General features: G+C 42.6%; 2 protein-coding genes across 17 annotated transcripts in view, besides 2 other annotated features; one reads left to right on the plus strand and one right to left on the minus strand.

Moving 5' to 3' along the window:
• Positions 3-522: a silencer, noted in NCBI's record as "silent region_5799". NCBI's record gives its function as "represses an Ori minimal core promoter by ATAC-STARR-seq in GM12878 lymphoblastoid cells {active_cell/tissue: GM12878}" and the evidence as "EXISTENCE:reporter gene assay evidence [ECO:0000049][PMID:35858748]".
• The window catches only part of TOMM20L (translocase of outer mitochondrial membrane 20 like), a 21,151-nt gene continuing 6,969 nt past the window's right edge, over positions 195-14,376 (plus strand). Inside the window, exons 1-5 of one of the 4 annotated variants that reach the window (XM_011536742.4) lie at positions 195-358; positions 563-630; positions 6,945-7,026; positions 11,591-11,733; positions 12,794-12,967. In XM_011536742.4, coding sequence (XP_011535044.1) covers positions 223-358; positions 563-630; positions 6,945-7,026; positions 11,591-11,733; positions 12,794-12,847 — 483 coding nt within the window. In that variant the 5' untranslated portion in view covers positions 195-222 and the 3' untranslated portion in view covers positions 12,848-12,967. Of the gene's footprint in view, positions 359-562; positions 631-6,944; positions 7,027-11,590; positions 11,734-12,793; positions 12,968-14,376 lie in introns of those variants that run through there. The other 3 variants (NM_207377.3, XM_011536743.3, XM_011536744.4) reach the window with 3 other exon arrangements.
• Positions 593-642: a silencer, noted in NCBI's record as "silent region_5800". NCBI's record gives its function as "represses an Ori minimal core promoter by ATAC-STARR-seq in GM12878 lymphoblastoid cells {active_cell/tissue: GM12878}" and the evidence as "EXISTENCE:reporter gene assay evidence [ECO:0000049][PMID:35858748]".
• Positions 12,759-14,376, minus strand: part of TIMM9 (translocase of inner mitochondrial membrane 9) — a 19,038-nt gene continuing 17,420 nt past the window's right edge. For 4 of the 13 annotated variants that reach the window (NR_130752.1, NR_130753.1, XM_047431264.1 and 1 more), the window contains one exon: positions 12,759-13,433. Coding sequence is in view for 9 of the 13 variants with exons in the window: in XM_047431264.1 (XP_047287220.1) it covers positions 13,299-13,433 (135 nt within the window). In the remaining 4 variants the exon portion in view is untranslated. The remainder of the gene's footprint in view (positions 13,434-14,376) is intronic. The other 9 variants (NR_130750.2, NM_001304487.2, NM_001304485.2 and 6 more) reach the window with 4 other exon arrangements.

Consider the following 14,376-nt stretch of genomic DNA (forward strand, 5'->3'; position numbering starts at 1 on the left):
AGACGTAGGTTCGAACAGAGCTCTGCTACTCTGTGGCTGTGAGGGCTCCCGCACACACCCTCTCGAACGCTCGGCTTCCTCATCGGTCCGCAAGCCTGGGTGCGAGGCGTCAACGCGCAGCTGGGTGCGCAGGAGGCCCCGAGGCCGGATGGGCCGCCGCGCCGACGCCCCCTGCCGGCCGGCCCGCGCCCAACGCTCGGCTTGTGGGACGCCCGCGGTCGGATGCCCTCCGTCCGCTCCCTCCTCCGCCTCTTGGCCGCCGCGGCGGCCTGTGGCGCCTTCGCCTTCCTGGGCTATTGTATTTACCTCAACCGGAAGCGGCGCGGGGACCCCGCGTTCAAGCGCCGCCTGCGGGACAGTGAGTGGGACCGAGGCGGAGGCGCGGCCGGGCCGGGCAGCGCGGGCGGGCTGCCGGCCGGGAGGGCCCCCCACTGAGAGGCCGGGCCGTGAGTGCCTCAGCCTCTGCCGAGGGGCCCGCGGCGCCCGGGCAGGCAGGACCACTGGGCCCACGCGTGCCTCTGGACGGGCCTCCCAGCCAGCATGTGCCGTGTTGTGTTCGCAGAAAGAAGAGCAGAGCCTCAAAAGGCTGAGGAGCAGGGCACGCAGGTGCAGTGCTTTCGATCCGCACAGGTAGCTCAGTAGACGCAGGTCCGGGCTCGCTGGGTTGCTTGGCTCCTGGCGGGCTCGGCAGCAGGTAGTTAGTTCCCTCAGCCGCCCGTGCCCGGGAAGAGGCCTGCCCTCGCGCGCCACGCACCGCCTCAGGCCCAGTCACTCTCCTCTCACAAAAGGGAGGGAAGGAAGGAGGAAGAAGTTGGAGTTATAAAAAGGCAGCTGCAAAGCAAAACACTGTACAACAGGCACTTCTTTTAACTGGAAGAAGGAAGAGGAGCCTTTTGCCCTGTCAGAGCCGCACAGGACACTTAAAAACCCAGGCTGGCCACGGTCACATGGCAGTAACTTCTAGATTGTTCTCCCGCAGGGCCTTTCTTGTAGCTCAGAAGCAGAAGGCATCTTCGTGTTTTGTAAATCTCTGCGGCAAAATTTGATTAGTCCCTTTTTTGTTGTTTTTAAGAGGCGGGCCGGGCTTGGTGGCTCACGCCTGTAATCCCAGCACTTTGGGAGGCAAGGCGGGCAGATCACGTGAGGTCAGGAGTTTGAGACCAGCCTGGCCAACATGGTGAAAGCCTGTCTCTACTAAAAATACAAAAATTAGCCGGGAGTGGTGGCGTGTGCCTGTAGTCTCAGCTACTTGGGAGACTGAGGCAGGAGAATTGCTTGAGTCCGGGAGGTGGCAGTTGCAGCCTGGGCGACAGAGCAAGACACTGTCTATAAAAAAAGAAAGAGACAAGGGTGTTCCTATGTTGCCCAGGCTGAACTAGAACTCCTGGCCACAAGCAATCCGCAGTTGATGCTGGATGTTTACTTAGCTGAGATTGTTAGCCAGAGCACCTACACGTCTGTGTGATCTGGGATTCTTCATTTGTGTGATGGGCTGTGTCCCAAGGGACAAGCAAACACATATATGTATGTGTGTATATATATGTGTGTGTGTGTGTGTCTGTGTATAGAGAGAGCACGCACATGCATGTGAACTAGAACATGTGCCCATGTGGAAGAGCAGATGGTACCACTTCTGGCAACATTGAAGCCTACTCAATTTAAAGGGAGAGGAAATAGATTCTACCTCTCAACAGGGATGGCAAGGTTTTGAAAGCACTTGTGTGACCGGGAATATTGCGGTAGCCATTTTTGAAACATGCAGTTTTTCCGGAGAAGACTTTGTAGCGGAAGTGGCATTGAACTGAGCCTGGAAGGATGATGAATTTGTGGCTTGGTTTCAGGGGAGAGGATACAGGATGGAGGGAACAGCATGTGCATAAAGATGCAAAGTGGGGCATCTGCCAAGCACATTCAGTAAACCAGTTTGGCAAAGGAGTCATACTGAGGAATAGTGGGTGGTAAGGTTGGAGAGCGAAAGTAGGATTGAATTAGGGAAGGCTTGCTTTGAAGGCCAGGTTAAGGAACTGAGATTCAATGGAGGAATTACTGAAGATTTCTAAGCAGGAATTTTTTAAAAAGAAGGAAAGAAAGGCAGAAGAGAAATATTCTTAGATTGATCAAGCAGGAGTGTACTTAATGGATTGGAAAAGAAAACAAGCTATTGCAGCAATTTAGTTGAGAGGTAATAAAAATCCTGAACTATGGTGGTGGTAGTGGTAACTGGGAAGAATACAGTTCATGCCGACTGAGTAAAGGGTAATGGAGAGGCGGAGTCAAAGACACTTCCGGGGTTTCAAAATGGAATCACAGTAGAGAATAAAAGCCCATTTGACATAGTTAGCTGGGTAGGGAGTGTCCAAAGAGCTGGACATGGGAGTGGAGATACCTTCCCTGACTTGACTGAGACAGAGCCTGATACAGCTCCATGTCCCTCGTCATTGTCCATGGTTTCACTTGCACATTTGTGTAATTATTTGATTAATGCTTTCCGTTTATTACACTAAGCTGTGTGAGGGCAGACTTTGTTTTTTACTCTCCATTGTTTCCAGTGCCTAGAACAGAGTCTAGTGCGGTAGGTGCCCAGCAAATGTTTGTTGAATATTGTTGTTCATTGTAGGCAGAGGGAAACACCTTGTGCAGAGGCACAGAACATGAAATTGTAATGTTCAAGGAGTATTATGGCCAGAGAGATAGCTGAGGGTCAGTTTAGTGTCTTACCGTGGAGGACTTTGAATGCCAAACTGAAAAGTCAGGACATTTTTCTGTTGTGGTGGATAACTAATGATGGTGACTTTATTTCAGAGAACAGACACAATTATTTTGGTTTTATTTTTTAAATAAGACAATTCTGGTTCCAGTGTGGAGAAAGGAAGTTGAAGACAAGAAAATCAGTCAATGGCAGTTCATATGGGAAATAATAAATGATTTATATTAATATAAATTAATCATATTTTAATTATAATATAATCTAATTATATTCATATTAAGCCATAACTAAGTCACACTATCATTTATTGATATAAATCAATAATTATTAATAATAAATTGTTAATATTATTTCCCATATATGAAATAATAAATTATTTCAAGTGAAGAAGCAGCACAAGCAGGATTTTCAAATGTCCTTTCATATAATTGTCACAACTCTATTCTAATTTTTTTTTTTTTGACACAGGGTCTCACTCTGTTGCCCAGGCTGGAGTACAGTGGCAATGATCACAGCTCACTGCAGCCTCAACCCTTTTGGGGTTAGGTGATTCTCCCACCTCAGTCTCCTAAATAGCTGGGACTACAGGTGCATACCACCATGCCTGGCTAGTTTTTGTACTTTTACAGAGATGGGTTTCGCAACATTGCCCAGGCTGGTCTTGAACTCCTGAGCTCAAGCAGTCTGCCGGCCTTGGCCTCCTGAAGTGTTGGGATTACACGAGGGAGCCACTGTGCCTGGCCTCTATTCTCATTTTACACATGAATAAACCAAAGCAGATAAAGAGTCTCTTCTCACTTTTTCTAGGGTCTTTCTTCCTCTTCTTCCCAGGACTTTCCCAAAGTATGGTCCATTGCTGCATTACATTTACCTGGAGCATCTGTTAAAATATGGATTATTTGACCCTGATCCCAGCAATTCTGATCCAGTAGCCTGGGGAATTCTTACTGGCACAGTGACTGTCAGACTTTAGGATCCATAAGAATCACCTGAAGAGTTTGTTTAAAAATGCAAATTCCTGGGCCCTACTCCCAGAGATTGATTCAGTAGGTCTGGGTGGAGTCCAAGAAACTGCAGTTTTAACAGCTCCTTCAGGTGATGCTTTGTGAAACATGGGCCTTGGGTTCTGTATTCTTCCCCCTCTCCCTAGAAGATCTTTCCCTTCTCCAAAAGTGATTTCAAATGTACTACTCTAGACCTGGTGTCCCAAGTTTCATCTGCCTACCAGACTCTGTCATCTGGACATTCTGTTGGCACCTCACCTTAGTGTGTCCCGAAGTAAATTCATCATCTCCCCCACCTTGCCACTGTGCCTACTCCTGTTTCCTTATGATGCTCCTGGTATCACTAGCCTCCCTGCTGTGACCCTGACTCATCTTGTTTAAATATCAACTTCATCCATCATAAACAATGACCAATTCTTATTTTCAAATGCTCTATTGCATATATATATATATATATATATATATATATATATATATATATATTCCACTTGTCTATTTCTATTACTTCCCTGCAACTAAAGGCTTTTATTACCTTTTACCCAGGTTATTGTAATAGTTTCCTAACTTGCCACCCTGCCTCTATTCTTATGCTGTTAGAGTAAATTTCTTCTAAATGGCAGCTCTGAATATGTAATTCCTTGCAGTAGCTCCCTACTCTGCAGATTAAAGACCAGCTTTGCTGGGTACAGTGGCTCACACTTGTAATCCCAGCACTTTGAGAGGCTGAGGTGGTTGGATCACCTGAGGTCAGGAGTTCAAGACCAGTCTGGCCAACATGGTGAAACCCCATCTCTACTAAAAATGCAAAATTAGCCAGGCATGGTGGCGCACGCCTATAGTCCCAGGTCCCTGGGAGGCTGAGGCAAGAGAATCGCTTGAACCTGGGAGACAGAGGTTGCAGTGAGCTGAAAGTTGCAGTGAGCCAAGATCACACCACTGCACTCCAGCCTGGGCAACAGAGTGAGACTCTGTCTCCAAAAAAAAAAAAAGAAAAAAAAAAAAACAGTCTCAGCTTGGCGCTATGCCTTTGATGGCTGCCTATTCCGATTGACTGCCTTATTTTCCTAGGGATTGGAAATAATATATGTAAAGTTCCTAGTTTATAGCTGGCCTTCAATAATGGTAATATTGTTGCTACATTTACCCTATTATGGCCGGCGCGGTGGCTCAGGCCTGTAATCCCAGCACTTTGGGAGGCCGAGGTGGGTGGATCACGAGGTCAGGAGTTTGAGAGCAGCCTGACCAACATGGTGAAACCCCGTCTCTACTAAAAATACAAAAATTGGCTGGGCATAGTGGCGTGCACCTGTAATCCCAGCTACTCAGGAGGCTGAGGCAGGAGAATCACTTGAACCCGAGAGGCAGAGGTTGCAGTGAGTCAAGACTGCACCACTGCACTCCAGCTTGGGCAACAGAGCAAGACTCTGTCTCAAAAAACAAACAAACAAACATTTACCCTATCATAATCTAGCTAATTAAGTTCACTTGCTATGTTCCCTGCAATTTTGCGTTGCTTATACTTTCCTCATCAAACTTTCACTGAACCACATCTCAAACACTATCTTTTCTGAGAAGCCTTTGACAATTCTCCAACTAGATGTAATGTCTCTGTACTTTGAGCCCCAGAGGACATTGGACTTCGTCTTGTACCTACATGATCACTTTCCCTTTATTAGACTGTGGCTCCTTGGGGATGGGCACAGGGGTCTTGGTCTCCAATTCCTTCCAGCTTTTCCTTGAGTGTCCTGCCCTTGCCAGTGCTCACTAAACATCTATTGAGTAAAACCTCTGATGTTACTGATTATTAGTATATTTGATAATACAAGCTTAAAAGGTGACCCCTGGCTGGGCATGGTGGCTCACGCCTGTAATCCTAGCACTTTGGGAGGCCGAGGTGGGCGGATCACAAAGTCAGGAGATCGAGACCATCCTAGCTAACAAGGTGAAACCCCATCTCTACTAAAAATACAAGAATTAGCTGGGCGTGGTGATGGGCACCTATAGCCCCAGCTACTCGGGAGACTGAAGCAGGAGAATGGCGTGAACCTGGGAGGCGGAGCTTGCAGTGAGCTGAGATTGCACCACTGCACTCCAGCCTGGGCGACAGAGCAAGACTCTGTCTCAAAAAAAAAAAAAAAGGTGACCCCTTTCCAGGCTCATTGCATTTTAAAAAGAAAATTAGTGGGGGAAAACAAAAACAAAAACCTTACAGATTTGAAACACTGGAGCTGAAGTAACTGGCAGTGGAGTTGATATTTTGGGCTAGGCTTTGCACAGTGTACCTTGAAAGACCAACCCTAGGTGTAGTACCAATGATGATGCCATCTTGTGGCCATGGTCGCCTTCATGAACCAACCGCAGTAAACCAAAGCATCCTTCTGAACACTCACTCCCCTGCCAACCCCCAACCAGGTCCTTTGTCCCTTTCCTTTTGAGGGTGTGAGTACAGAAGGCTTAGCATAGTTTTTTGTTTCCCCGATTAGAGAGTTACTGCTACATGAACAGGTCTCACAACTAAAAGACCAAAATGACCTTGTAAGCCAGAGAAATCATGCAACCAAATCAACAGGCACTGTTAATATCCTGGGCAAGAAAATAATTTTGCAACATACAAAACTACCTTTGTTATATTAACTACAGTAGGATTTATGCTATATGTGGCTGGGTAAAATTTGGTATGAGAGTTATTTATTATAAGCATCTCAACCTAACAAATATTTCATGTTTTTTTAAAACACTTAAAATAATCCCATTTTAGAAAATTGGTTTAAATATTATAAAGAACAACTACATTTGTCATACTTTGGATTTAGAGACTAGGTTCAAGATGTCCTTTTTTTTTTCCTTTCTTTCTTTTTTGTGATGGAGTTTCACTCTTGTTGTCCAGGCTAGAGTGCAATGGTGTGATCTTGGCCCATTGCAACCTCTGCCTCCCAGGTTCAAGCAATTCTCCTGCCTCGGCCTCCTGAGTAGCTGGGATTACAGGCATGCACCACCACACCTGGCTAATTTTGTATTTTTAGTAGAGATGGGGTTTCTCCATGTTGGTCAGGCTGGTCTCGAACTCCCGACCTCAGGTGATCTGCCTGCCTCGGCCTCCCAAAGTGTTGGGATTACAGGTGTGAGCCACCGCATCTGGCCCAAGATGTCCTTTTTAAATAAAAAATAATTTGATCAGTAGCCATATACCTTACCTTCATTACTCATTGTTGAATATTTTATGAATATTTTAGTTGTGGGATCCAACGAAGAATAAAAAGTTGCAAGAACTTTTCTTGCAAGAGGTACGGATGGGAGAACTTTGGTTATCTAGAGGTAAGAATGTAAATGTTCTTTTGTGAGTTATGACAGCTTATACTTGAGAAATATTTATTGATTAGTATTTGTATGTCAAATAACTAGCTGGATGTGTTAGCCAACTCCCCTCATTAAAGAAAAACTATCCCAGCATGTTCACTTCATCATACTGTACTCTTGAATTATGTTAGCATTTAGTGCTCAAGTCGTAGACTTGGAAGTGGGCAAACGGAGTAGCAAAGCCAAATACAAAAATACCTCATTTATTGTTATATAAAATTCTAAGTCAGTGAGTTTTCCAAGTGACTAAATGTTAAGAATAAAAACTTTTTGCCAGGTGTGGTGGCTCATACCTGTAATCCCAACACTTTGGGAGGCCAAGGCAAGAGGATTGCTTGAGGCCAACAGTTTGAGAACAGCCTGGGCAACAAAGCAAGACCCTGTCTCTACAAAAAACTTTAAAAATTAGTTGGGTACCATGGCATGTGCCTGTAGTCCCAGCTACTCAGAAGGCTGAGGTGAGAGGATCACTTGAGCCCAGGGGTTTGAGGTTGCAGTGAGCCATCATCTTGCCACTATACTCCAGCCTGGGAGACAGAGACTCTGTCTCAAGAAAACAAAACAACTTTAAAAAATTCTAACTGCTTTATAAAAATGTTCCTGCTTTCTTAGAATATTCTTAATACTTATTTACTTTGTTGATAAATTAATTCCCTATGAATGTCCATTCTTTTACTGTGTTTAGTGGAGTGATGCCTGTCGGGGCTACCTTACACTTAATGGTCATATTTTGAGTTATAATTTATTCCTACCGGCAGGGCACGGTGGCTAACGCCTGTAATCCCAGCACTTTGGGAGGCCGAGGTGGGCGGATCATGAGGTCAGGAGATTGAGACCATCCTGGCTAACACGGTGAAACCCTGTCTCTACTAAAAATACAAAAACTTAGCCGGGCATGGTGGTGGGCGCCTGTAGTCCCAGCTACTTGGGAGGCTGAGGCAGGAGAATGGTGTGAACCCGGGAGGCGGAGCTTGCAGTGAGCCGAGATCGCACGACTGCACTCCAGCCTGGGCGACAGAGCGAGACTCCGGCTCAAAAATTAAATAAATAAATAAATAAATAATTTATTCCTACCTAATTCCAGATGGATTTGAGAAAACTTCATAATATTGTCAGGCAAAATGATGGTAGATAATATTATTATTGTATAAATATTATAATCATAATGTCCTTATTCTGGTGTTAAACCCTGGAAAGGAAAATTTGTCTTGAGGTTTCTTAATTTAAGAAGTAACTGATATTGCTGGATAAATCAGCATTACACCCATCAGTACAATGTATATATACATATATATGTATATATATATATATATATATTTTTTTTTTTTTTTTTTTTTTTTTTTGGAGACGGAGTCTCGCTCTGTCGCCCAGGCTGGAGTGCAGTGGCGGGATCTCGGCTCACTGCAAGCTCCGCCTCCCGGGTTCACACCATTCTCCTGCCTCAGCCTCCCAAGTAGCTGGGACTACAGGCGCCCACCACTACGCCCGGCTAATTTTTTGTATTTTTAGTAGAGACGGGGTTTCACCGTTTTAGCCGGGATGGTCTCGATCTCCTGACCTCGTGATCCGCCCGCCTCGGCCTCCCAAAGTGCTGGGATTACAGGCGTGAGCCACCGCGCCCGGCCATATATTTTTTAAGTGTTACAAACTCCCTTGCATATCACAGTGCCTGTACCTGTTTTTGCCTTTCTGTTGTTGTTTTTTTTCAAAAGGTTTTTTTTTTTAATCTGTAAGGAGCATCCTCCAGGATTTATAAAAACAAAGAGGAAGTCAAAATCCTAGACAACTCACAGCAATGACGGAGATTTTTATTCAGTGGCTTAAAACCATTATAAAGGTTTTGAGAAATGAAAAAGTTGCAGGCATTCAAAATCACTGCACATTAATCACTGTAATTTGTATTTTAATTTTTCATTTAGTATTGATCTTTGCTTTCAGATGGAGTAATTTTTGAATGGACTAAAAATGCCTGCTAAATATTAACGATTTTTGCTTTTAGATGGAGTAATTTTTGAAATGGACTAAAAATACCTGCTAAATATTGATGACAAAATGTACAGTTAGAACTGACTTAAATGATTATAAACAGAAGTGACTTTACATAAACCAGTGAAGCTTATGTCTAAAGACTTTTATTTGCATAGGCCTCTAAGGCCCCCTAGCAATTTTTTTTTTTTTTTTTGAGATGGAGTTTCACTCTTGTTGCCCAGGCTGGAGTGCAATGGCGCCATCTCAGCCCATTGCAACCTCTGCCTTCCAGGTTCAAGCGATTCTCCGGCCTCAGCCTCCTAAGTAGCTGGGATTACAGGCGTGCACCACCACGCCCAGCTAATTTTGTATTCTTAGTAGACACAGGGTTTCACCATGTTGGTCAGGCTGGTCTCAAACTCCTGGCCTCAAGTGATCCACCCGCCTTGGCCTCCCAAAGTGCTGGGATTACAGGCATGAGCCACCGCGCCCAGCCACCCCTAGTAATTTTGTACTCATAATTTTATATTCTTTTTTGTAAACAAGGGCCCTCAAATTGTGGGAAAGAAAGTTCTGAATTATAAGTCAGAAGAAAAAAGATGATAACGTATTTTATCATCACATTTTATTCCTATTCACTGTATGCTTAAGAGCTATGATGTAATAGTTTAATTAGATTTAGAGGTGATCTGAACATAAGTTGCAAACTTGGGTTTTTAAATTTTAAACTGTGAAATTATTTAATAGCTTTTTTATTTTTTGGGGACAGTGTCTCACTCTGTCACCCACGCTGGAGTGCAGTGGCATGATCTTGGCTTAGCCTTCCGGGTTCAAGCAATTCTCGTGTCTCAGCCTCCCAAGTAGCTGGGATTATACAGGTGTGTGCCACCATGCCTGGCTAATTTTTCCATTTTTAGCAGAGACTGGGTTTTGCCATGTTGGCCAGGCTGGTCTCGAACTGACCTCAAGTGATTCGCCCTCCTCAGCCTCCCAAAGTGTTGGGATTACAGGCGTGAGCCACCACACCCACCCCCCTAATAGTTCTTTACAGAAGTTTTATACTTCCATATTTTACTTATATTGCAGTTCTCGGTCTTGGCTGCTTATTCTTTAATTCTTCATCAAACCCCAAACCAATTAAATCAGAATCTATGGGGCTGGAACCCAGGTGTCAATATTTTTTTTAAAAATCTCCCTGGGTTACTAAAACATTGAGAACCAACCAGTACAGTATTCTATCCAATGTGGCAATTTTTCACCCAGTTTTCTGCAGTCTTCTTAACTTTCTCCACTCCCCTTTGCTATCACCCACAATTTTCGTCATTTTCTGTCAGGTAAAATACAGTTCTGTAGCCATCTCAACGGTGGCTATATCTATATGAGACCATAGGGCCAATAATTTTGATTGAAATTTCTGAGTAGCTGGTATGATTGAATTTATTGGTTGGTTGAATTATTTGACCAAATTGATTGTTTTGTATTGTTAGCACCACCAATCTTCAGAACAGGCACCATTATATCTTATGTTGAAAATGTAAAATTAATGTATTTAAATCAGGACATATCCCTATTGTTCAAGCTTAATACAAATCTTTGGAAAGCATTTTTTTCTGTCACGCACTATTCTCTTCCTATAACCATGTATTTCAACTGATAAATGGAAAACTAGTTTCAGCTAATAAAAATCTATTATTATACTTACCTGTAGGGCCATATTTTATTTTCTACCTAGTTATATGAAGTATGTCAATATTTCAACTCCTGTGATTACCGAATACCTGAAAAGAGGCAGTACTCTAGTCTCAAGGGTCAGAAAATTAGATTATATTCCTAAGGCTAGCATTAATCAGCATTGAAACTATACATCATTTCACTGATCTTTGCCTGTTTCCTTAAAGTAAAACAAGGGAGTGGGATTAAAGTCATTCCATGTTCTAACTTAAACAGAAATCCTATGATTAATTTTCACTCTTCACATATTTTCATTTGTTGTTACTTCAAAGCCAATCATCCTAAAACTCACTTTAAAACTGTGCTTAGAAATCAGAGTTCATAAATCTCTTATTTTTTTCCCTGGGGTATGTAATTCATGTTACACTACATCTTGTTTCAACTCTTTGATAGTGAAATCTATTTTTTTTAAGTTCCATTTAGCTGGAACATCAGATGTTTCATCTATAATATTTTTTCAATCACACATGTAAAGATAACCTATCAGATATTAATAAAAGCAGACAACTGCTTACAAAAAACCTCAGTATCCTCTTCCCTCCATACCCAAATTATAGAACACGAGCATTTCCAATGCAAGAGTATACTTCTAAACAGTAAGAGTATACTTGCTGTAATTTGGCTCAAAATTAATATTGCCGCTTCACCACTGTGAAGCTCAACATCTTCCTCATATTTGTACTCTACTCTTCACAAGACTTGTCTAAGTAGTCTTTAGTTGGATATGCTTTTAATTTTTAATGCTTGTTGCTTTCTTGGATTTGTAGAATGTCTGTTTTAAAGAACTTCAAAATTTTGCTCAAAACTTGTCATTCTGTTTCAGGAGAGCACAGAATGGGGATTCAACACCTCGGCAATGCCCTTTTAGTGTGCGAGCAACCACGGGAACTTCTGAAAGTTTTCAAACACACTCTCCCTCCCAAGGTATTTGAGATGCTGTTGCACAAAATTCCCCTTATTTGCCAGGTGAGCACATATTTAATTATCTTTGTGAAATGTACACAGTAAATAGCTATGTTATGCTTGACTACACAGAAATATCAAAGTATGTGTGTGAATTGCCCAAAATCTTAAATAAGTGAAATCTCTGAATTTTTGGCTGCTTTAACACGAAGCAAGCCTATTCTTCATTTTCCTTTGACTATAATAAATTGTATATTTTCTTGTATTATCCGTATTTCAACAGTTCAATTTTAAAGCAGAACATTGCTTCTACTTCCATTAACATACAAAACATAGAAATCACTTTGGTAAATTTAAACATACAGGCTAATTAGCATTCTCTTAAATATAGGTTTAAAATGGTATCAAATGAAATCCATTCATAAGCCAGTTGATTAGTAAGTTTTAGTCCACTTCCATTTTACTAAACTGCTTGGTGTATGTATGCATCAACTAGAATTTCCTGCAAATGCTTGGATTCATTTCAGGATTCATTAGGCATAAGACATTAACTTTGGTTCCCTTTTTATCATTGGCAAGCCTTGGAATCTATCATATTTGACTGTCAGCTTTTGAACAAAACACAAACATGAACTCCATTACAGTATAACAGTCAACTCTTAAACATTCCCAAACTAGGGCAGATGGGATTGTTTCCTGAAGATATACGAAAATGTAGGTAAGATATGTGGCCAGGCGCGGTGGCTCACGCCTGTAATCCTAGCACTTTGGGAGGCTGAGGCAGGCGGATCACCTGAGGTCAGAAGTTCGAGACCAGCCTGGCCAATGTGGTGAAACCCCATTTCTACTAAAAATACAAAAGTTAGCCGGGCATGGTGGCACACACCTGTAATCCCAGCTACTTGGGAGGCTGAAGCAGCAGAATTGCTTGAACTGGGGAGGTGGAGGTTGCAGTGAGCTGAGATTGTGCCGTTGCACTCCATCCTGGGTGACGAAAGCAAAACTCCGTCTCAAAAAAAAAAAAAAAGAAAAGTATATGTAATGCCCACCCTGACACAAGGGAGGCAAGAAAAGGATCATGCATTGAAATGATTAGCAAGTAACTATTTTATGTATTCACCAGCAATTTGAGGCAGACATGAATGAACAGGACTGCTTGGAGGATGATCCTGATTGAAAAACATTTCAACGTATCCACAGTCCAGTGAGAATACTATGGTACCATACAGTATAAACAACTGCTCAGTGATATTTCCATTTATTTTACTTTGAGTAATAAAAATTTTTCTATCTCATACATGATCGAACACATAAGTTGCTTTAAAATTAACAGTCACAATTGAAGAAACAATGGTTTATTTTTCTAATCAAGTGACCAAGCTGCTGAATCATAAGGCCTCAACAAATGTTGCATCTTATTATTTCACTGAACAATAAGACCTTCTATTGTGATTATTCCTGGTAAATAGCAATTTTGTTTCTCCAGCGGTTTCCATTTGCCAAACAGTCATGACAGATGGTTGAACATGGTGGCTACTGCTTTCAGGGGATTCTATCAGATGAGTCCTCATTTCCAATAAAGCAGCTGTTGGCAATCTTTCATCAAAAGTTCATCCATCAGGACTTCTCTATCGTGGTTGGCCAAGGAGTCCTGCTTTGGCTGCCAGGGCTTCATTCTGCTGAATATGATATTCCTGAAATCTCATGGATATTCTTTGTGTCATTTTTAAATATTTCTGTAAGCAATGTTCTGAACAGGTGGTCTAGGAATGAAAAGGGAAGATCCAAGAGGCAACACAAAAATATGAATTTTTTAAAATGCATGTATTCTAAAAGAATCAGTGGGGTAGTTTGCTTTTCTTTGAATATATCTGAGAATTAAATAGTACTAATTGGCAGCAACTGACCATAGCTTTTAATTGATACTTTCATTCACTGACAAGCATTAATATATATTGAATGCCTGCCAGTTTGTAGTCACTAAGAGCAATGATAAGTCTCTGTTTTCAAAAAGCTTCTGGACTAGATTTTCTGCAAGTGTATTAAGTGAAAGCCCACATTCCTGTCTTCTTGTTTCGATTATTAAAATGTAGACCCAGTAGTAAGTTTGTTCCTTTTTAATGAGAAAACAACATTCTTAATTCTCAACCTTTTACTTATTTTAATTTTATTTATTTATTTATTTATTTTTGAGAGGGAGTCTCGCTGTGTCACCCAGGCTTGAGTGCAGTGGCGTGATCTCGGCTCACTGCAAGCTCCGCCTCCTGAGTTCACGCCATTCTCCTGCCTCAGCATCCCGAGTAGCTGGGACTACAGGTGCCTGCCACCATGCCTGGCTAATTTTTTGTATTTTTAGTAGAGACGGGGTTTCACTGTGTTAGCCAGGATGGTCTTGATCTCCTGACCTCGTGATCCGCCTGCCTCAGCCTCCCAATGTGCTGAAGTTCCAGGCGTGAGCCACCGCGCCCAGCCTATTTATTTATTTTTTTGAGACAGGTTCTCTCTCTGTTGCCCAGGGTGGAGTGCAGTGCCTCACTGTGGCCTCAACCTCCTGGGCTTAAGTGATCCTCCTACCTCAGCCCCTGGAGTAGCTGAGACTACAGGCACACACCACCACGCCTGGCTAATTTTTCATTTTATTTTTTAGTAGAGATGAGGGCTGGTGCTTTTTGTTGTTGTTGTTGTTGACAGGGTCTTGCTCTGTCG

This window comes from Homo sapiens, chromosome 14 (assembly GCF_000001405.40).
Source record: "Homo sapiens chromosome 14, GRCh38.p14 Primary Assembly".
Taxonomy (NCBI): Eukaryota; Metazoa; Chordata; class Mammalia; order Primates; family Hominidae; genus Homo; species Homo sapiens.